Here is a 27,396-nt window from a genome sequence, read left to right on the forward strand (position 1 = left end):
CAAAAATCGGCCAGGTGCGGTGGCTCACCCCTGTAATCCCAGCACTTTGGGAGGCCAAGGCGGGCAGATTACTAGAGGTCAGGAGTTTGAGAACAGCCTGGCCAATATGGGGAAACCCCATCTCTACTAAAAATACAAAAAAATTAGCCAGACGTGGTGGCATACGTCTGTAGTCCCAGCTATTTGGGAGGCTGAGGCAAGCAAATCGCTTGAACCCAGGCAGCAGCGGTTGGCAGTGAGCCAAGGTCGCGCCACTGCACTCCAGCCTGGGTGACAGGGCGAGACTCCATCTCTATACAAAATAAAATTAAAATAAAATAAAATAAAATAAAATAAAATAAAATAAATACAATAAAATAAAATAAAATACAAAAATCAGCCTGGCATGGTGGCGAGCACCTGCAGTCCCAGCTACTTGGGAGGCTGAGGCAGGAGAATTGCTTGAACCTGGGAAGCGGAGGTTGCAGTGAGCTGAGATTGTACCACTGCACTCCAGCCTGAGCAACAGAGCGAGACTCTGTCTCAGAAAAAAAAAGGAGAAAGCAAATTATGTCACTGTGTTCATTTTATCTTTGAAGAGTACACAGTTTTATGCAAAATAAGTACCGCAGTATGCTGCAGAGCGGTTGACAAAATATTGTATTTTGGTTTTACTTCTCTATTTTGAAAGTAATAAAGAAATATAAGTATTTCTGGTTAATATTTTAAAACAGCCCACCAAATCCATGAGCAGAAATGGATTATCATCAACATACTTCACAAAAGTCTATCCAAGTACAAAAATCTTTTATCCTGAAAATCATTAAAATGCAAAATCATATATCTGAATAAAATATATAATGATTTAACTGGTGGGAACACAGAAAAAAAATCATGAAATAATTGTGAAGTATTTAAGCCAGGCACGATGGCTCACGCCTGTAATCCCAGCACTTTGGGAGGCTGAGACGGGCAGATTACCTGAGGCCAGGAGCTCGAGACCAGCCTGGCCAACAGGACAAAACCCCGTCTCTGCTAAAAACAGAAAAATTAGTCAGGTGTGGTGGCACATGCCTGTAATCCCAGCTACTTGGGAGGCTGAGGCAGGAGTATCACTTGAACTTGGGAGGCGGAGGTTGCAGTGAGCTGAGATCACGCCACCACACTCCAGCCTGGGTAACAGCGCGACTGCGTTTCAATCAATCAATCAATCAATCAATAAAATATTTAAAATTATACTAAGGCCTTATACCTTGGAAGCAAAAAGTAAGCAGTTGGAGGGCTTTCCCTCTAAAATCAGGAAAAAGTATGTCTGCTCTTGCCACTTGTACTCAATGTTGTCGAGTTTCTAGCAAAAGAATTAGGCAATAAAATGAAATAAAAGACATCTACATTGAACAAGAAGTAAACCCATGTGTTTACAGATGAAACAATCTTACAGAAAAACATAAGAAATCCACTAAAAAATTTAGAATAATGAGTTCAGCAAGGATACAAGATCAATATACAAAAATCAATTGTATTTCTGTATACTTTTGCAATAAACAATCCAAAAATGAAATTAGGAAAGCAGTTCCAGCTGGGCGCGGTGGCTCACGCCTGTAATCCCAGCACTTTGGGAGGCCGAGGCGGGCTGATCACGAGGTCAGGAGATCGAGACCATGGTAAAACCCCATCTCTACTAAAAATACAAAAAAAAATTAGATGGGTGCAGTGGCGGGCGCCTGTAGTCCCAGCTACTCGGGAGGCTGAGGCCGGAGAATGGGGTGAACCCGGGAGGCGGAGCTTGCAGTGAGCCAAGATGGTGCCACTGCACCCCAGCATGGGCAACAGAGCGAGACTGTCTCAAAAAAAAAGAAATCAGTTCCATTAAAAAAATCACCAAAAAGAATAAAATACTTACGAATATATTTAACAAATGAAGTGTAAAACTCACACTGTGAAAAACTACAAAATACTATTTAAACAAACTGAAGACCTAAACAAATGAAGGCATCCCACATTCATGGATCGGAAGATGTAATATTGTTAAGATGGCAATATTCCCTAAATTGACCTACAGATTCAATAAATTCCCTATCAAAATTCCATGTGGCATCTTTGCTGATTCTAAAATTCATATAGAAATTCAAGGAAATGGAATAGCCAAGACAATCTTGAAAAAGAACAAAGGTGGAGGACATACTTCCTGACTTCAAAAATTATGACAAAGCCACGGTAACACAGTGTGTTGCTGGCATTTAGATAGATATATAGATCAATGGAACAGAACTGGGAGTTTAGAAATCAACTCTCGCATTTACAGTCAACTGATTTTTGACAAGGGTGCCAAGATAATTCAATGGAGAAAGAAGAGTCTTTTCAAAAAATGGTTCTGGGACAACTAGATGTCCACATATAAAAGAATAAAATTGGACCTCTATACTTCACACCCTATATAAAAATTAACTCAGAAATGGATAAAAGTCCTAAATGTAAGAGCTAAAACTACAAAGCTCTTAAGCATAAATCTTCATGACCTTGGATTAGCAAGAGAAACTTAAATGATGAAAAAAAGACAGACATGCAAGGATGTGGAGGAAGACTATTTCAAAGAAAGAAAATAGCAACAAAAGCCCGGAGAGAAACAGAACCAACCTAACACACTCAAAAGACAGAGAGAGAAAATCAGAGAGGTAGGTAGGGGCCTTAGAGGCCAAGTTCAGGTACATATGCATGGCAAAAGCATATTATTTGGCAAAAGCTATATTATAATAAAGTCGAGCACTGCTCCAGGGAGAGCATTCCACATAGTAAACCATGATGTGAAAGTTGCCTGCCTGTAGGAGTGGAGCAATGAAACAGTTCAGACCACAATTTATTTAAACTGACCTCACGGCTCTTCAAACAGCTGTTCCTTAAGTCTCATGTGTGTTTAATTCAATCTTATGCATATTTTCAATAATTATACCAACCAATTAATTATATATGCTGACTTCTTAAAAATGGCATCTCTCAGGTTTTATTCACGTTTTGTGCAAACAATTAAATCTCAGTGAAATTCAAATTGTCTACATGGCTTCTTTATTTCTTTTATTTTTAATTTTCTTTCTATTTATTTACGTGGTTCAAATTTCGAAAGGGTAAAAAGTCCCCCTCTTATCCTGCCTCTCAGACACATATTTCCCATCTCTGGAGGCAACAAATGTTATCAGTTGGTTCCTTCTGTATCTTTCCAGAGAAATTTTATATTTTGGCAATTGTTTCATATCAGAGTATAAAGTTTTCTCATTTTTATAAAGGTTGCACAGTATTCCATTGTGTGAATACACGTACTTTATTTCTTTATTGATAACTTTTAATTGGAATTTTTGTTTTCAATGCAGCTCCCAGGGCAAGAGCTGTCTATGGATGGGCTTCAGAAGATAAGTGAATAGGCCAGGCACAGTGGTTCATGCCTGTAATCCCGGCACTTTAAGAGGCTGAGGCAGGTGGATCAACTTGAGGCCAGGAGTTCAAGACCAGCCTGGCCAACATGGTGAAACTTCATCTCTACTAAAAATAAAAAAATAAAATAGCTGGACATGGTGGCACACACCTGTATTCCCAGCTACCAGGCAGGCTGAGGCACAAGAATCGCTTAAACCTGGTAGGCAGAGGTTGCAGTGAGCCAAGACTGCACACTGCACTCCAGCCTGGGCAAAACAGCAAGACTCTCAAAAAAAAAAAAAAAAGAAGAAGAAGAAGAAGATGATAAGTGAACAGGCCAGGCACAGTGGCTCATGCCTGTAATCTCAATGCTTTGGGAGGCCAGGGTGGAAGGATCGCTTGTACCCCGGAATTAGAGATGGCAGTGAGCTATCATCACACCACTGCACTCCAGCCTGGGCAACAGAGCAAGACCTTGCCTTTAAAAAAAAAAAAAAAAAAAAAAGAAGAAGAAGATAGGTCAATCCCTTAAAATGGTGTGTATATGCCCATATGCATTTCTCTGGGCAGAAAATTTGCATATCATTCACTGTATTTATCAAAGGAAACTGTAACTGAAACAAAGATTGAGAACTACTGTCCTTCATACCCAACGACACAGTCTGAGGGAAAAAAAAAAAAAAGAACTACTGTCTTATAACTTTGCACAAGTGTTCAATAAACATTTGTTGAATCAATTTTAGTCTAGGGTTTTGCTAATTGTTGCACTAGAGACTGGAGGGCTAAATTAAATATCAGTATAATACAAAATTCTTATCTACCTCATAGGATGTTTACCCACTAACAACAAAACTGACCAATTTGACCTATTTCTTTTCTGAGAAGAGGTCTATTTTTTATCTGCACCATGAACAGGAGTACTAAAGAAAGAAAAGAACCAAAAGTAAAAGCACCTGAATGATCAAAAGTTGACCACACAAGCTATGTTCACCATAAATGACAGAGGAATCTACCATGCCTCTTAAAATCTATGTAACTTTCCATAGAGTCCTTTCTGAGAAAATAGATCACTGGTAGCTGTGTAGTTGCCTAACATGCCAGGCACCAGAACCAGAACGGAAGCTTTACCTATACATCTTGCTTAATCCCCAAAACAATCACTATGGCAGCTATTATTTTCCCCTCTTTTACAGATAAGGAAACAGAGGCTTAAAGAGATTAAACTTAAGCTATTTACTTGCCCAAGACCACGTAACTATTAAACTAGACTATACTAACATAGTAATATAACTATAAATTAATATATAAACCATTAAACTAAAATATTACCACGTTCTTCATCTTCAAGACTCCAAGTCTCAAGCTTCCAAAATACCACAGTGCTTTGGCCTCCAAAATGTAATGATGATCATTATAGGGAAGTAGTATAACATGGTGGTCAGAAACACCAAGATTCTAATTCTAGTTCAACCACCTACTAGTTATATGATACACTGTTTAAATTCCAAAAAGGTGCTTGCACCATCTGTAAAACTGCATCGATGTGGGTTGAAATGAAAAAAAAAAAAAAAAAAAAAAACCATGGAAAACCAACAGTTCACATATTGACCTAAAGAAGATGCTTGGTACAAGGTAGCTACTATCATTACTGTTGCCCTTTTTTGAGAAGAAACACAAAGGCCTGCAACGTTTCCCAGTGTGGCATAAAATTTTCACCGCCCCCCCCCAGAATGTTGTCACTGTGACACGTTGACCAATGATTGAAAAAAATTATATCGGATTGTTAAGTATCTTCTAGCTTAATGAACATTTTAAATGGTCCTTTAAAAATATTTCAAACACAGAGCCATATCCATTGCCATACCATCAGGAATGTCTGCTTTGCTGGCTGCATAATCATTTCACTTTCAATTTGTTTGAACATTTTATCCAGAATTATGCAGTGAGGCTTGGGTTTTTTTCAGATTTTAAACATCAGGTGGTAAGAGGATGACAGCTGTCAAATGTCTTGCATCTGTTTCTATTCGCTGTACTTCTTTTTCCTAGTAAGCCATGTTATCCTTTTGACTCCTATGAACTCATCTAAACAAAATAAAATATCCTCTCCATGCCCTCGGTCTCAACACCGCTCAGGTGATCGTTAATGACGAGCGGAGATGAGACGAGCTGAGCTGTTAATGATAAAAGTTTAAGGCCCTACACAACATATTCCCTAAGAAAGAAAAGTTTGTTACATTCTTCTCCCTCGTGACCCAAAGCTTGAAATCCACGCTTTAGGCAGTACTCAAACTGAGGTTCGGGCAACGCCGAACAAGAAAATAACTTTACCAATGCGTCCCAAAACCACCATCCTTCCTCTCTTCCTTTCTCCCTTCCCCCAAGAGTGGGGGGCGGGGGGAAAGTGCAAGTACACGTAGCAACAAAATCCCTGCGCGCTGGCTGCCGCCCAGAGCCAGAGCCCGCGATGCAATGAAAGTTTTGCGTCCAGTGCCCGGTGTGCGGCCCCTTCTCTGCCTTTGCTAGCCTCCGGAACCACCCACCGCCATCCTCCCCCACCCTGCATACCAGGAGTGCCCGGTCCACACCAGGCCTGCAAAGCCCCCCCAGACCCCGAGCCGCACGGCCTCCCCCAGCGGCTCACCATCGCAGCCCCAGGATGAAGGCGCTGGCTGGCTGGCGGGTGGGCCGGTTGAGGAATCTGTTATCGAGGCTCAGGATCCATTCGCGCCAACAACTTCTCCCGCGAAGTGCAAGAAGGCGAAGACAGTGGCGCGCGGTGATGACGTCAGGAGGCGCGAGCTTTGCTTCCGTCCCGCCCAGAGGCGGGAGGTGCGACGCCTGCCCAGGTGCTGCCCCGAGGGCAGGCGGGCCGCTGACATCGAGAGGAACCACGGTGCTTTGGTGTGAGCTCGGTTTTTGGCGGGGGCGCTAAAGTAGGGGGATCCGATATTGGTTTCCTTGGCAGGCGGGGTACCCAAGTACCTCCCGGTTACACGTCTGGACAATGCACTTCCCTATAGTAACTTTGAAAAGTTTTTACTACCAACTTTAGTAAGATAAATGTTTTAGCTGTGCGTTTTACATATTATGTATAAATATCTATTCTGTAATAAGGTTTCATCAAGAGGCCGGACGCGGTGGCTCACCCCTCTAATCCCAGCACTTTGGGAGGCCGAGGCGGGTGGGTCACCTGAGGTCAGGAGTTCGAGACCACCTGACCAATGTGGTGAAACCCCGTCTCTACTAAAAATACAAAAATTAGCCAGGGGGTGGTGACGTGTGCCTGTAGTCCCAGCTACTCGGGAGACTGAGACAGGAGAATTGCTTGAACCCAGGAGGCAGTGGTGCAGTGAGCCGAGATCGAGCTACTGCCCTTTAGCCTGGGCGACAGAGCGAAACTCCGCCTCAAAAAAAAGAAAAGATACCGAAAGCTTTGGGGTAAACCAGTTGTATATGAATAGATTAGCAATTGAATCACGGAATACAATGAAACATTTGCGTACGATTTCAAGAGAAAGATTAGACCATAAAGAGTTCAATGGAGAAAGCAGTATCTCCAGCTTTGGCTCTAGCTACACTTTTGAAATTCTCACCCATCCACCCCCTGTTGGGTCTTGCGCTTTATGACACCAACATTTCTATGGCGAAAGATAGAACAGCCTGGAATACAACAGAGGCTGAGCATTGACAGCTTGTATTTATTAAACGCCTATTGTTGTACGTGCAGCTCTGGACTAGCCTAGCTCATTTTATCCCCATGATGACACTGACTACTCTTATCCCGAATTTACAGACAGACTGTTACTTATTAACAGGGCCTCACTGCACTGTTCCCTCTGAAGCCAGGATGCTAGGTCTCCAGCCCCACCACCTGCTATTTATGTGACCAAGGGCAAGTTACTGTGCCTCGGTTTTGTCTTAGCAGACATATCACACAAATTTTTGCCCATAATTTTAGAGGACCTACACCAATTTATAATGTTCATTGTGTTATAAATCAATAAATGAGTAAATAAGACATAAAAAGTTGTACGTGTCTTTTATATTACATTCCTCTTAACTTTTGCTTTTTTTTTTTTTTGGCATTTGAAGCCTTCCTTGAGTTTAAATGAGACTTAAGTCAGGAGACTGTAACTTCTTTGTGAGATTGTTTTCTTTAGGAATATTTATTTACATGAAAATACTCTATCTCAGAAATATACCAGATCTAAAATGACTGCATATGCTTTGAAACTCCTCCCTTGAACCTGGACTGGCCTATGACTGATTTGATCAAAGAATACAATGGAAGTGATACTATGCCAACTCCAGACCTAAGCTTTAAGAAGACTGGCAGCTCCTGTCTTGCTCTCTTGGAGCACCATGTAAAGCCAGGGAGGTGGTCATCTGAGACCAGCCTTATAGCCATCTCCACCAGGCACCATGCATGTAAATGAAGCCATCTCAGATCCCATCCAGCAACTGATGGAATTTCACTAGCTTTGTTGACCCCATTCAACACCTGGGAGAGCAGAAAAATCACTCAGTCAAGGCCTGTCCAAATTTCCTGACCCACAGTAGCGTGAACATAATTAAATGATTGCTCTGTTAAGGTAATAAGTATTGGAGTGGTTTCTTATAAAGGAATAGATATCCAGAATGGAAATATTTTTGAAGACCCAAAATAGGACTGAGCATGGTGGCACATGCCTATAATCCCAGCACTTTGAGAGGCCTTGTCTCAGGAAAAAAAAACAAAAACAAAAAAAAAGTGAAACCAATCAGAAAAGATTTCCCTGCTGATCCATGCCTTTTTGTTAGCAGAATAATGGCATGGAAAGAAATTCACTCCTTGAAAACAGTATGGATATAAGCTTTTGCCTATCACAGCAAGTTTACATTTATGGATGCCTGCTGCATTAGCACATGCCGGCACTGTTATTCCATCCTTCCCATCCTTAATTCCTTTATGGGCTAGCTCATCAGCCATAGTTAGTATCTATCTGGGGCAAATAACACCAAAACAGTGATGTTTCAGCAATCTTGTAGACTTGGTCTAGTGTCAGATTTTCATGAGTGAAAATATTGGCAAATTCATCAACACATTTCTCCACTGCTTTGTGATCAGCAGATGCTTTATTGCCACAGATTTTTTAAAAATGTAACACCCTGTCTTTTCTTAAATTTATGCAACCAGCCAGTTGAATATGCACAATTCCCTTCAATTTTTAGTTCATTGCAATAGATCTTTGTTTCATGATCAGCATACCATCACGTGGCATGTGTTCACTATGATGCTTATGAATTTATGCTTTCAATACATGATTGAGATTTTCTTTTTTAGCTTTACGTAGTTTTTTTTGGGGGGGGGGTTGTTTTGTTTTTTGTTTTTGAGACGGAGTCTTGCTCTGTCACCCAGGCTGGAGTGCAGTGGCGCCATCTCGGCTCACTGCAACCTCCGCCTCCCAGGTTCAAGCGATTCTTCTGCCTCAGCCTCCTGAGTAGCTGAGATTACAGTTGTGCACCACCACATTTGGCTATTTTTTGTATTCTTAGTAGAGACGGGGTTTCACCATCTTGGTGAGGCTGGTCTCGAACTCCTGACCTCGTGATCTACCCATCTCGGCCTCCCAAAGTGCTGGGAGGGTTTTTTTGGTTTTGTTTTTTTACTTTTCATTAACTTCTGTTCATCACTTTCAGCATAAACCTTCAACAGTTTTTCCTTCTGTTTCTTCAAATCATATATGGTGGTCATTCCAATCCCATACTCTTTTGTAAGATTTTCACACTTATACTGCTGTCCAACTTCTCTAAGGTTGACTTTCTGTGCCACAGATAAACATAAATGCTTCCTCTTTTTCTTATCACTGTTACCCAAAGGGGTATCTGCAGGCCTTTTCGACATTTTCAGCAATATCTGTATACCACAAAGCAGAGAATAATCAAAAAACCGCAGAAGGCCAGGCACAGTGGCTCATGCCTGTAATCCCAACACTTTGGGAGGACAAGGAAGGAGTATTGCTTGAGACCAGGAGTTCGAGGCCAGGAGTTCAAGACCAGCCTGGGCGACAGAGCAAGATGCTGTCCCAAAAACAAAACAAAACAAAAACCACTGTAAACAATCTGAATGTTAACTGTAAAGAAAATGGATAAATTGAAATATATTCATACAACAATAAAAATCAATGAAATACAGATCATACATCATACAACACTACAGATCAGTCTTGTATACTTTTTTTTTTTTTTTTTTTTGAGATGGAGGCTTGCTCTGTCACCCAGGCTGGGATACATTGGCGAAATCTCAGCTCACTGCAACCTCTGCCTGCCAGGTTCAAGCAATTCTCCTGCTTCAGCCTTCCAAGTAGCTGGGATTACAGGCATCCACCACCATGCCTGGCTAATTTTTGTACTTTTAGTAAAGACAGGGTTTCATCATGTTGGTCAAGCTGGTCTCTAACTCCTGACCTCAAATGATCCACCCACCTCGGCCTCCCAAAGTGGTAGGATTACAGGTGTGAGCCACTGCACCTGGCCCAGTCTTATATACTGATATGGTTTGGCTCTGTGTCCCCACCCAAAACTCATCTTCTAGCTCCCATAATTCCCATTGTTGTGGGAGGGACCCAGTGGGATAGGAGATAATTGAATCATGATGGTGCATCTTTCCTATGCTGTTCTCATGATAGTGAATGGGTCTCATGAGATCTGATGGTTTTAAAAACGGGAGTTTCTCTGCACAAGCTCTCTCTTTGCCTGCTGCCATCCACATAAGATGTGACTTGCTCCTCCTTGCCTTACACTATGATTATGAGGCCTCCCCAGCCATGTGGAACCGTAAGTCCAATAAATGTCTTTATTTTGTAAATTGCCCAGTCTTGGGTATGTCTTTATCAGCAGCGTGAAAATGGACTAATACAGTAAATTAATACCAGCAGAGTGGGGCATTGCTAAAAAGATACTCGAAAATGTGGAAGCAACTTGGGAACTGGGTAACAGGCAGAGGTTGGAACAGTTTGGAGGGCTCAGAAGAAGATAGGAAAATGTAGGAAAATTTGGAACTTCCTAGAGACTTTTTGAATGGCTTTGACAAAAATGCTGATAGTGATATGAACAATAAGGTCCAGGCTGAGGTGGTCTCAGATGGAGATGAGGAACTTGTTGGGAACTGGAGCAAAGATGACTCTTGTTATGTTTTAGCAGAGACTTGCAGCACTTTGCCCCTGCCCTAGAGATCTGTGGAACTTTGAACTTGAGAGAGATGATTTAGGGTATATGGTGGAAGAAATTTCTAAGGAGCAAAGCATTCAAGAGTTGACTTCGGTGCTGTTAAAGGCATTCAGTTTCAAATGGGAAGCAGAGCATAAAAGTTTGGAAAATTTGCAGCCTGAAAATGCAGTGGAAAACAAAATCCTATTTTTGAGGAGAAATTCAAGCCGGCTGCAGGAATGTGCATAAGCAACCAGGAGTCGAATGTTAATCACTAAGACAATGGACAAAATGTCTCCAGGGAATGTCAGAGACCTTTGCAGCAGCCCCTCCCATCACAGGCCCAGGGAGGAAAAAGTGGTTTCATGAGCCAGGCCCAGGGTCCCCGTGCTGTGTGCAGCCTAGGGACTTGGTGCCCTATGTCCCAGCCACTCCAGCCGTGGCTGAAAGGGGCCAATGTAGAGCTTGGGCTGTGGCTTCAGAGGGTGCAAGCCTCAAGTCTTGGCAGCTTCCACGTAGCATTGAGCCTGCAAGTGCACAGAAGTCAAGAATTGAGGTTTGGGAACCTCTGCCTAGATTTCTGAAGATGTATGGAAATGCCTGGATGCCCAGGCAGAAGTTTGCTGTAGGGGCGGAGCCCTCATGGAGAACCTCTGCTAGGGTAGTGCTGAAGTGAAATGTGGGATCAGAGCCCCCACACAGAGTCCCCACTGGGGCGCTGCCTAGTGGAGCTGTGAGAAGAGGGCCACCGTCCTCCAGACCCCAGAATGGTAGATCCACTGACAGCTTGCACCATGCACCTGGAAAAGCCGCAGACACTCAACATCAGCCCATGAAAGCAACTGGGAGGGAAGCTGTACCCTGCAAAGCCACAGGGGTGGAGCTGCCCAAGACCATGGGAACCCACCTCTTGAATCAGCATACCTGGATGTGAGACATGGAGTCAAAGGAGATCATTTTGGAGCTTTAAGATTCGACTGCCCTGCTGGATTTCAGACTTGCATGGGGCGTGTAGCCCCTTTGTTTTGGCCAATTTCTCCAATTTGGAATGGCTGTATTTACCCAATGCCTGTACCCCCATTGTATCTAGGAAGTCACTAACTTGCTCTTGATTTTACAGGCTCATAGGCAGAAGGGACTTGCCTTGTCTTGGATGAGACTTTAGACTGTAGACTTTTGAGTTAATGCTGAAATGAGTTAAGACTTTGGGGGACTGCTGGAAAGGCATGATTGGTTTTGAAATGTGAAGATATGAGATTTGGGAGGGACCAGGGATGGAATGATATGGTTTGGCTCTGTGTTCCCACCCAAATCTCATCTTGTAGCTCCCATAATTCTCACATGTTGTGGGAGGGACCCAGTGCGAGATGATTGAATCATGGGGCAGGTCTTTCCCATGCTGTTCTCGTAATAGTGAATGGGTCTCACAACATCTGATGGTTTTAAAAATGTGAGTTTCTCTGCACATACTCTCTCTCTTTGCCTGCTGCCATCCATGTAAGTTGTGACTTACTCCTCCTTGCCTTCCACCGTGATTGTGAGGCCTCCCCAGCCATGTGGAACTGCAAGTCCAATAAATTTATTTCTTTTGTAAATTGCCCAGTCTTGGGTATGTCTTTATGAGCAGTGTGAAAATGGGCTAATACATATACCATTGAGCAAAAGAAGCATCTATTCCATATGCAATATATTTTGCTGGCTGTTCAGGCTGAATGGAAAGATCAGTAAAAGCTTTCCCTACCTCAGTGAATTTTATGAATGAAATGAGGATAAAATATTTACACTGCACACACACAAAAAATAACATCTGTATCTCTATGAAGCAGGTAACAATGGCATAGGTTGCATTTAGCTGATAGAGAAATAATTTTAGTATGTCATAAAGTTATCAGTAGTTGCCATTAATACAAAATTTCTTTTAGTTTAAGTCTATTACTTGTTCAATTATTTCTATTTATAATTACATATTCACCTATAATTTTCAGAACTTTTGACTCCAGTGGAACTTTATTTTATTTTTTACTTTATTTTATTTTATTTTTGTAGAGACGGGATCTTGCTCTGTTGCCCAGGCTGGGCTCAAACTCCTGGCCTCAAGCAGTCCTCCCACCTTGGCCTCCCAAAGTGCGGGGATTACAGGCAGGAGCCACTGTGCCCGGCCTCCAGTGGAAATATGAATAGCAGTATTTAAATTCTACACAATCTATAATGCAGGGTGTATGAATGAGGAAACTATGACGACTTCTAAATAGGAGATATCCTATTATACATATATATTTTATGTATATATATTTCTTAGAGCAATCGCTAAGAAAAATATTTCTTTAATGTGTAGAGATTTGCTGACAACTGAACTACTCTTTGTCTTCATTTTATGCAATTTTAATAATCATTCTTGGCACTTAAAGTCAATCAGTGAGAGAACGGAAAAGAGGTGAAATTCAACTATAGTAGTGAGTTTCAATTTATAGTTTTGCTAATCACACTTCGTTTTTGTTTTTTTTTTTTTTTTGAGATGGAGTCTCGCTCTATTGCCCTGTCTCTGTTGTAGAGCCACAGTTTCACCATGTTGGCCAGGCTGGTCTCAAACTCCTGATCTCAACTGATCCACCCGCCTCGGCCTCCCAAACTGTTAGGATTACAGGCGTGAGCCACCACGCCTGGCACACACTCTTAAACTAAAACATTTTCTTACAAATGTCTAGAGAATCGGCTGGGTGCAGTGGCTCACACCTGTAATCCCAGCACTTTGGGAGGCCAAGGCAGGCAGATCACCTGAGGTCGGGAGTTCAAGACCAGCCTGACCAACATGGAGAAACCCCATCTCTACTAAAAATACAAAATTAGCTGGGCGTGGTGGCGCATGCCTGTAATCCCAGCTACTCAGGAGGCTGACGCAGGAGAATTGCTTGAACCCGGGAAGCGGAGGTTGCAGTGAGCCAAGATTGCTCCACTGCACTCCAACCTGGACAACAAGAGCAAAACTCTGTCTCAAAAAAAAATGTCTAGAGAATCTCAGGTATTAGTGATAAACTGTATTTACTTTATCAAGTGCTTACCACCATCCAGAGCTAATGATAATATTTATATGAAGCACCACCATCCAGAGCTAATGTTAATAGTTATATGAAGCCATCAACGCAGGTGTAATATTTTAAAATGTAGAGTCCAAAGCACTTACCTTATTTGTACTAAAACAAAGTTAGCTCTCTTCATAGCAACTAACAATTTAAATGGATATGTTAAAAGTATTGTTTATATCCTGTTGTGGTCATGAACCAGATTTTATCTGAGTAAGATTTTTGCCGTATATTTTATAGAAGATGTGAATGTATTGGGATTCCTTTTTTATGCCTTTCCTACTTTAATCTGTGTTTATTTGTAAAATTTTATTAATTAATTTATTTATTTGAGACAGTCTCTCTCTGTCGCCGAGGCTGGAGTGCAATAGTGCGGTCTGGGCTCACTGCAACCTCCACCTCCCAGGTGCAAGTGATTCAAGTGATTCTTGTGCCTCAGCCTCCCAAATACCTGGGACTACAGATGCACGCCACCACTCCCAGTTAACTTTTGTATGGTTTGAAGAGATGGGGTTTCACCATGTTGGCTAGGCTAGTCTGGAACTCCTGACCTCAAACAACCCGCCCAACTCTGCCCTCCAGAGTGCTGGGATTACAGGCGTGAGCCACCACACCGGATGTATTTGTAAAATTTTAAAACGTCTAATATACACTACTCCGTATAAACTGATGATCATATTTAATTCTATTTAAACTTCATGTCAAGAAAGACAACATGTGAGATTTCCATGAAAGTTCAAAATGTTTTTTTTTTTTTTTTTTTTTTGAGACTGAGTCTCGCTCTGTCGGCTCACTGCAAGCTCCGCCTCCCGGGTTCACACCATTCTCCTGCCCCAGCCTCTCAAGCAGCTGGAACTACAGGCACCCGCCACCATGCCCGGCTAATTTTTTGTATTTTTAGTAGAGACGGGGCAAAATGTATTTTTATCACAAACATTGCTGAAATATGAATGAGAATTCCGGGCATACCTTCTCATAGCATTTCAGGTTTTCAGAGGTCCTAAGGGTCTGGAACATCCACGTATGTGATCATCCCTAATATAGCAGCAGTTCTCAAGTAACTGAGGGTAGCTTTTTATTTGCTATGCCTCACATTATTTCTGCAAAACAACAACAAAAACAACAACACAAATCCTGGAATTCCTTTGGCTTGTAGGACTGAAAAAAGATTAATCATAAAATCTACTATCACTGCAAAGTGCTGATGGAATTCCTGTCACTCTGTTCATACACACCCATAAAATTGCCAATGAATATTTTAGGAATTAATCCATGACTTGAGACACATTAGATATGTAATCAAAGGAGTATGTCAACAGTAAAGTTATATGGTTTTTTTGCTATTTTAGATGTAAATGCTTCTTCTCACCTAAGTGAAGATACTGATTTACTTAGCAAAAACTTTGTTATTTCGGGCTATAAAAATTATTAGGCAAGTTTACATAAACTTAGCTTAGTCAAGCATAGTCATATTAAGAAGGTTAAATGGATATCACTCAAGAATTAAGATAAATGACATAGTTAGTGCCCAATTTCCTAAATTAGAATATGTGTACTTTAATAGTGACAAATTATGATTTAATGATTATGTTCATAAATGGATTATAAGGTCAACATCACCGGTCGAGACCTGCAGTCATCACGAACACAGAAAAGAGTAAGCTGCCTAATGGACTGTTGTCTGTAAGGAAAATGTTCCAATAAACTCTGACAAAGCAGGACATGCTAATATTTATCCAGAGGGCAGAAAGTCACATTTGTTGTTGCACAGTGAAAATTCTATTGATTTCTGTTGACTTTCAAAAGTCTAGTGAAAGACAATGTGATTATTGTGCTTCTGAAAAAGATTTCAAAAGTGACTTTAAGAGTTATGTCTGTCACATGGATAAGTTAACTAAGCCAGATATATTAACACTGAGCATTTACTTTGACCATTTCAGTTGTTTTTCACTTACACACGGTAGGAGTTAGACTGTAAGGAAGGACCAAAATTCAGATCATGCACTTTCTGACCAATATGCAACTTTTAATCATTTCAGGAGGGCTATGATTTATCTCTCTCTCTATGCTACAGAAAGAGCCATTTACTATAAGCATAATTCAATTATTCTCATGTTTAGAAACATACTAATAAAGATGTGAATGTAAATACTCTAAATTTGGGGGTAGAGTTTTTCATGGAATGTAAATTATTCTTCCACCAGTGGTATATTTTTAAGGGTGGAGGGGCATGAAATAGATCCTACTTTCACAAAATTGGCTTTGTTGATAAAGTTTTCCCTGACAAACTCTCTCTTATTTTGCCCATTTTTTTGCATCTCCTCAAGCATTTGTCCTTTGTATTACAAACAATCTAATTACACTATTTTAATGTGTGTGTGTTTTTTTTTTTGAGATGGCGTTTCGCTCTTGTTGCCCAGGATGGAGTGCGATGGCGTGATCTCAGCTCACCACAACCTCCGCCTCCCAGGTTCAAGCGATTCTCCTGCCTCAGCCTCCCTAGTAGCTGGGACTACAGGCATGTGCCACCACGCCTGGCTAATTTTGTATTTTTAGTAGAGATGGGGTTTCTCCATGTTGGTCAGGCTGGTCTCGAACTCCTGACCTCCCAAAGTGCTGGGATTACAGGCATAAGCCACCGCGCCTGGCCTTATTTTAGTTATTTTTAAATGTACAATTAAGTTATTATTGACTATAGTCACCCTGTTGTCCTATCAAGTACTAGGTCTTATTCATTCTATTTTTTTTGTATCAATTAACCAACCTCACCTCTCCACCACCACCCACTACCCTTCCCAGCCTCCGCTAACCAGTTTTCTACTCTTTATGTTCATGAGTTCAGTTGTTTTGATTTTTAGATCCCACAAATAAGTGAGAACATGTGATGTTTGTATTTCTTTTTTTTTTTTTTTTTTTTTTTTTGAGACAGAGTCTCGCACTATTGCCTGGGCTGGCATGCAATGGCGTGATCTCGGCTCACTGCAACCTCTACCTCCCGGGTTCAAGCGATTCTCCTGCCTCAGCCTCCCAAGTAGCTGAAATTACAGATGCCTGCCACCACGCCCGGCTGATTTTTGTATTTTTAGTAGAGACAGAGTTTCACCATGTTGGTCAGGCTGGTCTTGAATTCCTGACCTCATGATCTGCCTGCCTCAGCCTCCCAAAGTGCTGGGATTACAGGCGTGAGCCACCGCATTGGACCATGATGTTTGTATGTCTGTGCCTGTCTTATTTCACTTAACATAATGACTTCCAGTTCCAACCATGTTGTTGCAAATGACAGAATCTCATTCTTTATCATGCCTAAATAGTACTCCATTGTGTATAAGTACCACATTTTTTTAATCCATTCATCTGTTGATGGATACTTAGGTTGTTTCCAAATCTTAGCTATTGTAAACAGTGCTACAACAAACTTGGGAGTGTGGATATCTCTTCGATATACTGATTTCCTTTCTTTTGGGTATACACTCAGCAGTGGAATTGCTGGATCATATATTAGTTCCATTTTTACTTTTTTGAGGAACCTACAAACGGTTCTCTATGGTGGCTGTATTAATTTACATTCCCACCAACAGTGTTTGAGAGTTCCCTTTTCTCCACATCCTCACCAGCAATGGTTATTGCCTGTCTTTTGGATATAAGCCATTTTAACTGGGGTGAGATAATATCTCACTGTAGTTTTGATTTGCATTTCTCTGATGATCAGTGATGTTGAGCACCTTTTCATATGCCTGTTTGCCGTTTGTATGTCTTCTTTTGAGAAATGTCTATTCAAATATTTGGCCCATTTTTTAATCTGATTATTAGATTATTTTCCTATAGAGTTATTTAAGCTCCTTATATATTATGGTTATTAATCCCTTGTCAGATGGATGGTTTGTAAATATTTTCTCCCATTCTGTGGGTTTTCTCTTCACTTTGTTGTTTCCTTTGTTGTGCAGAAGCTTTTAACTTGATGTGATCCCATTTGTCTGTTTTGACTTTGGTTGCCTGTGCTAGTGGAGTATTACTCAAGAAATGTTGGCCAATGTCTTGGAAAGTATCCCCAATGTTTTCTTGTAGTAGTTCCATATTATGAAGTCTTAGATTTAAGTCTTTAATCCATTTTGATTTGATTTTTGTGTATGGCAAGGGATAGGAGTCTAGTTTCATTCTTCTGCATATGGATATCTTGTTTTCCCAGCACCATTAATTGAAGAGACTGCCTTTTCCCCAGTGTATGTTCTTGGGACGTTTGTCAAAAATGAGTTCATTATAGGTGTGTAGATTTGTTTCTGGCTCTCTATTCTGTTCCATTGGTCTATGTGTTGGTTTTTATGCCAGTACCATGGTGTTTTGGTTACTATAGCTCTGTAGTATAATTTGAAGTCAGGTAATGTGATTACTCCAGGTTTTATCTTTTTTGCTTAGGATAGCTTTGGCTATTCTGGGTCTTTGTGGCTCCATATAAATTTTAGGATTGTGTTTATTTCTGTTAAGAATGTCATTGGTATTTTGATAGGGATTGCATTGCATCTGTAGATTGCTTTGGGTAGCATGGACTTTAACAATATTAATTATTCCAATCCATGAACCTGGAATATCTTTCCATTTTTTTGGTGTCCTCTTCAATTATTTTCATCAGTGTTTTATATTTTTCATTGTAGATGTCTCTTACTTCTTTGGTTAAGTTAATTCCTAGGTACTTAATTTTTTTGTGGCTATTGTAAATAGGATTTTTTTGTTTGTTTTTTGTTTGTTTGTTTGTTTGTTTTTGAGACAGTCTCGCTCTGTTGCCCGGGCTGGAGTGCAGTGGTGCAATCTCGGCTCACTGCAACCTCCACCTCCTGGGTTCAAGCGATTCTCCTGCCCCAGAGTAGCTGGGATTACAGGCTCCTGCCACCATGCCCAGCTAATTTTTTGTAATTTTAGTAGAGACAGGGTTTCACCACGTTGGCCAGGCTGGTCTCAGACACCTGACCTCAGGTGATCCGCCTACCAGCCTTCCAATGTGCCCAGTGACCCACCATGCCTGGCCTCTAAATAGGGTTACTTTTTTATTTTTCAGATTGTTCACTGTGGCATATAGCAATGCTACTGATTTTTGTATGTTGATCTTGTATTCTGCAACTTTACTGAATTTGTTTTATCAGTTCTAAGTTTTTTGGTAGAGTCTTTAGGTTATTCTGAATATAAGATTACATTGTCTGCAAATAAGGATAATTTGACTTCTTCCTTTCCAAATTATATGCCCTTTATTTGTTTCTCTTATCTGATTCCTCTAGCTAGGACTTCCAGTATTATGTTGAATAGCAGTGGTGAAAGTGGGTATCCTTCTTGTGTTCCAGAACTTAGAGGAAAGGCTTTCAGCTTTTCCCTATTCAATATGATATTAGTTGTGGGTCTGTCATATACAGCTTTTATTATGTTGAAGTATATTCCTTATATAATGAGTTTCTTGAGGGTTTTTAACATGAAGGGATGTTGAATTTTATCAAATGCTTTTTCAGAATTAATTGAGATGATCAAATGGTTTTATCCTACATTCTGTTAATATGATGTATCACATTGATTGATTTGCATATGTTGAACCATCCTTGCCTCCCAGTGATAAATCCAACTTGGTCATGAGGATCTTTTTAATGTATTGTTAAATTTCATTTGCTGGTATTTTGTTGAGGATTTTTGCATCAATATTCATCAGAGATATTGGCCTGTTGTCTTCTTTTTTTTTTTTTTTTTAATGTGTCTTTGTCTGGCTTTGGTATCAGGGTAATACTAGCCTTGTAGAATGAGTTTGGAAGTATTCCCTCCTCCACTACTTTTTGGAATACTTTGAGTAGGATTAGTAATAGTTCTTCTTTAAATTTTTGGTAGAATTCAGCAGTGAAGCCATTAAGTCTCAGGTTTTTCTTTACTGAGAGACTTTTTATTATGGCTTCAATCTTGTTGCTTGTTATTTGTCTGTTCGGGATTTGGATTTCTTCCTGGTTCAATCTTGGTGGGTTGTATGTGTCTAGGCATTTGTCCATTTCTTCTAGAGGTCCAATTTATGGGCATATAGTTGCTCATAATAGCCACTAATCCTTTGCATTTCCATGGTATCAGTTATAATGTCTTCTTTTTCATCTCTGATTTTATTTACTTGAGTCTTCTCTTTCTTTTTTCTTCACTAGTCTGGTTAACTTGTCAATTTTGTTTAACTAAAAAAAACCCATTTTTGTTTCATTGATCTTTTGTATTGTTTTCTTCATTTCAATTTCATTTATTTCTGCTCTAATCTTTATTATTTCTTTTCTTCTATTGGTGGGTTTGGTTTGCTCTTGTTCTTCTAGGTCTTTAAGATGCATCATTAGCTTGTTTATTTGAAATTTTTCTTCTTTTTTGATGTAGGCACTTATAGCTATAATCCTTCCTGATAGTACTGCTTTTTCTGTATCCCATATATTTTGGTATGTTGTGTTTCCATTATCATTTGTTTCAAGAATTTTTTTTCAGTTTTCTTTTTAATTTCTTCATTTACCCATTCAGGAACATATTGTTTAATTTCCATGTATTTGTATAGTTTCCAAAATTCCTCTTGTTATTGTTTTCTATTTTTATTTCATTGGAGTCAGAGAAGATGCTTGGTATTATTTCCATTTTTGAATGTTTAAGACTTGTTTTGCGACCTAATCTATGGTCTGTCCTTGAGAATGATCCATGTGCTGAGGAAAAGAATATGTATTCTGTAGCCATTAGATGAAATGTTCTGTAAATATCTATTAGGTCCATTTGGTCTATAGTGCAGATAAGTGTGATTTTTTTGGTATTGATTTTCTGTCTGGAAGATCTGTCCACTGCTGAAAGTGGGGTGTTGAAGTCTCCAGCTATTATTGAATTGGGGCCTGTCTTTCTCTTTAGCTCTCATAATATTTGTTTTGTGCATCTGGGTGCTCCAGTGGTGGGTGCATATATATTTTAAATTGTTATATCCTTTTGCTGAATTGACCCTTTATCGTTATATGATGACCTTCTCTGTCTCTTCTTATAGTTTTTGTCTTGAAATCTATTTTATCTGATGTAAGTATAGCTACTCCTGCTATATTCCTGTCATCTAGGTTTTAAGCCCTGCATGCATTAGGTGTTTGTCCTAATGCTCTCCCTCCCCTTACCCCCCAACCCCTGACAAGCCCCAGTGTGTGATGTTTCCCTCCCTGTGTCCATGTGTTCTCATTGTTCAACTCCCACTTATGTGTTTCTCTTTAATCTTATGCATTGTCTATGTCTTGAAAAGTTGTTGTAGTTATTTTTAATTGGTTCATAATTTAGTATTTCTACTTAAGATAAGAGTAGTTTACACACCACAGTTACAATGTTATAGTATTCTGTTTTTCTGTGTACTTACTATTACTAGTGAGTTTTGAACCTTTAGATGATTTCTTATTGCTCATTAACATCCTTGTCTTTCTAAATGGAGTATTCCCTTTAGCATTTTTTTTTTTTTCAGATGGTGTCTCACTCTGTCACCTAGGCTGGAGTGCAATGGCATGATCTTGGCTCACTGCAACTTCCAGCTCCTGGGTTCAAGCAATTCTCCTGACTCAGCCTCCTAAGTAGCTGGGATAACAGGCATTCACCACCATGCATGCCCAGCTAATTTTTTGTATTTTTAGTAGAGACAGGGTTTCACCATGTTGGCCAGGCTAGTCTCAAACTCCTGACCTCAGGTGATCCACCTGCCTCAGCCTCCCAAAGTGCTGGGATTACAGGTGTGAGCCACCACCCCCAGCCTCCCTTTAGCATTTCTTACAGAACAGGTCTGATGAAAGCTGAGGGTGAAATCCTTCAGTTTTTGTTGTCTGGGAAAGCCTTTATTTCTCCTTCATGTTTGAAGAATATTTTCATTGTACATACTATTTTAGGGTAAAAGTTTTTTCCTTTAGCACTTAAAATATGTCATGAAACTCTCTCCTGGCCTGTAAGGTTTCCACTGCAAAGTCTGCTGCCAGACATACTGGAGCTCCATTGTGTGTTATTTGTTTCTTTTCCCTTGCTGCTTTTAGGATCCCTTCTTTATCCTTGACCTTTGGGAGTTTGAGTATTAATTGCCTTGAGGTAGTCTTCTTTGAGTTAAATCTGCTTGGTGTTCTAGAACCTTCTTGAACTTGGATATTGATATCTTTCTCTAGGTTTGGGAAGTTCTCTGTTATTGTCCCTTTGAATAAACTTTCTACCCCTATCTCTTTCTCTACCTCCTCTTTAAGGCCAATAACTCTTAGATTTGCCATTTTGAGGCTATTTCTAGATCCTGTAGGCATGCCTCATTGCTTTATATTCTTTTTTTCTTTTGTCTCCTCTAATTGTGTATTTTCAAATAGCCTGTCATCAAGCTCACTAATTCCCTCTTCTGCTTGATCAATTCTGCTATTAAAAGACTGATGCGGCCAGACACAGTGGCTCACCCCTGTAATCCCAGCACTTTGGGAGGCCGAGGCAGGCGGATCACCTGAGGTCAGGAATTGGAGACCAGCCTAACCAACATGGAGAAACCCGGTCTCTACTAAAAAAATACAAAATTGGCCGGGTGTGGTGGCACACGCCTGTAATCCCAGCTACTCAGAAGGCTGAGGCAGGAGAATTGCTTGAACCTGGCAGGCGAGGTTGCAGTGAGCCGAGATCATGACATTGCACTACACCCTGGGCAACAAGAGTGAAACTCCATCTCGAAAAAAAAAAAAGAAAGAAAGACTGATCCATTCTTCAGCTTACCAATTGCATTTTTCAACTCCAGAAACTACAGAATTTCTGCTTTATTCTTTTTTTTTTTTTTTTTTTTGGAATGCAGTGGCGCGATCTTGGCTCACTGCAACCTCAGCCTCCCGGGTTCAAGCGATTCTTCTGCCTCAGCCTTCCTGAATAGCTGGGATTACAGGCATCTGCCACTGCGCCCAGCTAATTTTGTGTTTTTAGTAGAGATGGGGTTTCTCCATGTTGGTCAGGCTGGTCTCGAACTCCCGACTTCAGATGATCCACCCACCTCGGCCTCCCAAAGTGCTGGGATTACAGGCATGAGGCACCACGCCTCACCCCTATTCTTTTTAATTATTTCAATCTTTTTGTTAAATTTATCCAATAGAATTCTGAATTCCTTCTGTGTTATATTGAATTTTGTTGAGTTTCCTCAAAACAGCTATTTTGAATTCTCTGAAAAGTCACATATCTCTATTTCTCCAGGATTGGTGCCTTATTTGGTTCCTTTGGTGAGGTCATGTTTTCCTGGATAGTGTTGTTGCTTGTAGATATTCATCTGTGTTTGGGCATTGAAAAGTTAGGTATTTATTGTAGTTTTCTCAGTCTGGGCTTGTTTGTATGCATCTTCTTGGGAAGGCTTCCCAGACATTCAAAAAGACTTCAGTGTTGTGATCTAAACTGTATCTGCTTTAGGGGGCACCTCAAGCTCAGTAATGCCGTTGTTCTTGCAGACTCACACAGGTACCGCCTTGATGGTCTTAGACAAGATCCAGAAGCATTCTCTGAATCGCCACACAGAAACTGTTGTTCTCTTCTCTTACTTTATTCCAAACAAATGGAGTCTCTCTCTCTCTTTCTCTCTCTCTCTCTTCTCTCTCTGTTCTGAGACACGTGGAGCTGGGGGTGGAGTGACACAAGCATCCCTGTGGCCACCATCACTAAGACTGTGCTGGGTCAGATCTGAAGCCAGCACAGCACTGGGTCTCACTCAAGGCTCCCTGTAGTCACCCCTTAGTTACAGCCTATGTTCACCCAAGGCCCTGTGGCTCTACAATCAGCAGGTTGCAAAGTCAGTTGGGCCCGTGTCCTTCTTTCAGGGTGGTGAGTTCCCCCAGGCAGGTCCAGAGGTGCCATCCAGAGCCAGGGACTAGACCTAAAAACCTTAGAAGTCTACCTGGTGTTCTATTATACTGAGGCTGAACTGACACTCAAGCCACAAGACACAGTCCTTCCCACTCTTCTCTCCCTTCTTCAAAGGCAGAGGAGCCTCATCCCATGGCCACCACCACCACAGGCCCACAGGGGGTGCTGCCAGACTACCACCCTTGAGGCCCAAGGGTTCTTCAATCAGCTGTGGTGAATGTTGCGTGGCCTGGGACTCACCCTTCAGGATAGTGAACTCCTCTCCTGCCCAGAGCAGGTCCAGAAATGCTATCCAAGAGCTAAGTCCTAGAATTAGGGACCCCAAGAGTCTGGTTGGTGTTCCCCACTGTGGCTGAGCTGGTACCTAAGGTGCAAGACAAAGTCCCCTTTACTTTTCCCTCTGCTTTTCCCAAGTGGGAGAAGTCTCACCCAGTAGCCACCACAGCTTGGAATGTGCTAGGTCTCACCTAAAGCCAGCATGTCTGAGTCTCACCTGTGGCCCTTGACATAGTACCTGGGTATCACCGCTGGTTTTTCAGGGCCCAAGGGCTCTTCAGTTAGCAGATAATGAATACTGCCAGAACTGGGTCCTTCCCCTCAAGGCAGTGGGTTCTCTTCTGGCACAGTGTGTCAAGAAATGTTGTCCAGAAGCTAGGGCCTAGAAAGGGGACCCCATGACTCTGACCAGTGCCCTATCCTGCTGTGGCTGAGCTGGTATCTAAGATGCAAGACAAAGTCCTCCCCACTCTTCCTCTCCTCTCCTCAAGTAGAGAGAGAGGGTCTCTTTTGGAGCCATGAGCTGTGCAGCCCGGGGCTAGGGGAGGGGCAATGTCAACACTTTCTTAGCCACCCTGCCTGGTATCTCAGTAGGTTGCATGCCCCCCAGTCCACTGCCTCTGGGCCCAGTTCAGCACTAGGACTTACCCAGCAGCTGCAGTTCTTGTGGCCTAGACGATCTTTCAAGTTTATCCAAGACCACAGGGTACTTTAGCTCGAGATGGCGAGATGGCGGGGCTTGCGGGAACTCACATTCAGACTGTAGAGATTCGCGATTCCCCTCTGGCTAGGGCTGGTTTAAATGCTCCCTCAGTGGTCGGGCATCAGCTGAGTTTGGTCTGGCTTTGTCTCTGTTATAATAGGACAGTACTGAATTCAATGCCTCACAATTGCCGAACTCTCACTCTCCATACACCGAAATGCTCTCTGCACCACATTACCGCTGCTGGGGGGTGGGGGAGGGGTGATGTTGGTAATTCAAGACTCTCTTTCCTATTTAACCTGTTTAGTGCCTCTTTCGCGATATGAAGTTAAAACCTGGTACTGTGAATGCTCATGTGATTTTTCATTCTTTAAAAGGTGCTTTTTGGTGTGTAGATAGTTGTTAAATTGGTGTCCCTGCTGGGAAAATGATTGGTAGAGCATTCTATTCTGCCATCTTGCTTTGTCCCTTTTTTTTTTTTTTTTTCCCCATAAGAGACTGGGTCTTGCTCAGCTCTGTCACCCAGGCTGAAGTGCAGTGGCATGATTATAGCTCACTGTGACATCAAGCACCTAGGCTCAAGTGATCCTCCCACCTCAGCCCAAGTAGCTGGGACTGCAGGCATGTGCCACAATGCCAGCCAATTTTTTTTTTTTTTTTTTTTTGAGACAGAGTCTCACTCTGTCGCCCAGGCTGGAGTGCAGTGGTGCGATCTTGGCTCACTGCAACCTCCACATCCTGGGTTCAAGCGATTCTTGTGCCTCAGCCTCCCAAGTAGCTGGGATTACAGGTACGTGCCACCACACCCAGCTAATTGTTTGTATTTTTAGTAAAGACAGGGTTTCACCGTGTTTGCCAGGATGGTTTCGATCTCCCAACCTCGTGATCCACCCACCTTGGCCTCCCAAAGCGCTGGGATTACAGGCGTGAGCCACTGTACCCGGCCCAGCCAATTTTTTAATTGTATTTTTGTAGAGATGAGGTCTCGCTGTGTTACCCAGGCTGGTCTTCAACTCCTGGGCTCAAGCAGTTCTCCTTCCTGGGCCTTCCCAAAGTGCAGCATTACAGGTGTGAGCCACCGTGCCCAGCCCTGTTTTTTAACTTTTTGTTTGATTGTTTGTTTGTTTTTAGAGACAGGGCCTCACTCTATCACCCAGGCTGGAGAGCAGTGGCACTATCATAGTCACTGTAGCCTCAAACTTTCGGGCTCAAGTGATCCTCCTGCCTCAGCCTCTCTGGTAGCTGGGAATACTGCATATGCCACCATGCCAGGCTTATTTATTTATTTATGTACAGACAGGGTCCTGCCCAGGCTGGTTTTAAACTCCTGGCTTCAAGGGATCCTCCTGCCTCAGCCTTCCAAAGTACTGGGGTTACAGGCATGAGCCACCATGTAGGACCTGTTGTGTTTTGTTTTATTTTAACTTTTATTGAAGTGTAATACACATGCAGAATAATAGTTAAGTCTTAAGTGATTTCCATTCTTATTTACCTCTCTGAGTTTTCATATTCACTTCAGTTTTGGACTTATAATTCCCTTCTGTGTCATATTTTTATTACTTTAAATAAAATTTTAAAATAGTTTATGAAAGATTAACTCCAGTGTTGAATTGCAATTGGAGGATATGATTTTTTTTTTTTTGAGATGGAATTTCACTCTTGTTGCCCAGGCTGGAGTACAGTGTCACCATCTCAGCTCACTGCATTCTCCGCCTTCCAGGTTCAAGTGAGTCTCCTGCCTTAGCCTCCCAAGTAGCTGGGATTACAGGTGCCTGCCACCACCCCCGGATAATTTTTGTATTTTTAGTAGAGACGGTGCTTCACCATGTTGCTCAGGCTGGTCTCTAACTCCTGACCTCAGGTGATCTGCCCACCTCAGCCTCCCAAAGTGCTGGGATCACAGCCGTGAGCCACCGCACCCAGCCGAGGACATGATTTTTAATAGATATACAGATCAATTGATTGATAGACATAGAAATAAATATGAATGTGTGTGTATGCATGGGTTAATATACATACTTACATTCCTTAGCTCTTAGCTGTATCCACTACAAGGTCCTAGGAGCAATGACATCCCAGTAGCAACAATGAGCATACCTAAAACCCAGATATTTTTTTCTAAGTACTATTCTCCAATAAAAGGAACTTGGAAAAGCAGTTGATTTTATAGCTGGGAAGGAAAAAATATAGAAGAGGCTGAAACACCTTATGGTGCCAAAAAATAAGAAAGTGATCAAGGATGAGGATATGTGAAGAAGCCATAGTATCCAAACTAAAGGAGCTCCTGATGACCAAAATTAGAACAATTTGAACCACAAAATAGCTAATAATACTTATTATATGAACATGTGTGTATATATATAAAGATAATACATATATTTGTGCTAAACCCATATACTAAAATATCTATAAATTCATAGTGAAATAAGTAATTGAATAAACAAAAGACATCTCTTTCTTACAGAAACATTTTAACTAATATATATATATATATAAAGAATGAGAGAAATACTAAATCACCATTAGGAAAACACCACAATAATAATTATTGCAGGCAAGATCTACCAATTGATGTTAAAATCAATGGATGAAAGTTTGAGGAGAGGCAGGACATGGTGGCTCATACCTGTAATCCCAGCACTTTGGGAGGCCGAGGTGGGCAGATCACAAGGTCAAGAGATTGAGACCATCCTGGCCAACATGGTGAAATCCCACCTCTACTAAAAATACAAAAATTAGCTGGGCATAGTGGTGCGCGCCTGTAGTCCTAGCTACTCGGGAGGCTGAGGCAGGAGAATCACTTGAACCCAGGAGGCAGAGGTTGCAGTGAGCCGAGATCGCACCACTACAATCCAGCAGCCTGGGGACAGAGCGAGACTCCGTCTCAAAATAAATAAATAAATA

At 41.4% G+C, this 27,396-nt stretch overlaps 1 protein-coding gene across 7 annotated transcripts in view, besides 1 other annotated feature; it reads right to left on the bottom strand.

The window, feature by feature from the left end:
- Positions 1-6,152, bottom strand: part of RFC1 (replication factor C subunit 1) — a 78,907-nt gene extending 72,755 nt beyond the window's left edge. For all 7 annotated transcript variants that reach the window (XR_007057951.1, XM_047416054.1, NM_001363495.2 and 4 more), the window contains exon 1: positions 6,029-6,152. Coding sequence is in view for 6 of the 7 variants with exons in the window: in XM_047416054.1 (XP_047272010.1) it covers positions 6,029-6,031 (3 nt within the window). In the remaining variant the exon portion in view is untranslated. The remainder of the gene's footprint in view (positions 1-6,028) is intronic.
- Positions 6,074-6,193: an enhancer, noted in NCBI's record as "active region_21457". NCBI's record gives its function as "activates an Ori minimal core promoter by ATAC-STARR-seq in GM12878 lymphoblastoid cells {active_cell/tissue: GM12878}" and the evidence as "EXISTENCE:reporter gene assay evidence [ECO:0000049][PMID:35858748]".

Source organism: Homo sapiens, chromosome 4, assembly GCF_000001405.40.
Source record: "Homo sapiens chromosome 4, GRCh38.p14 Primary Assembly".
Lineage (NCBI taxonomy): Eukaryota > Metazoa > Chordata > Mammalia > Primates > Hominidae > Homo > Homo sapiens.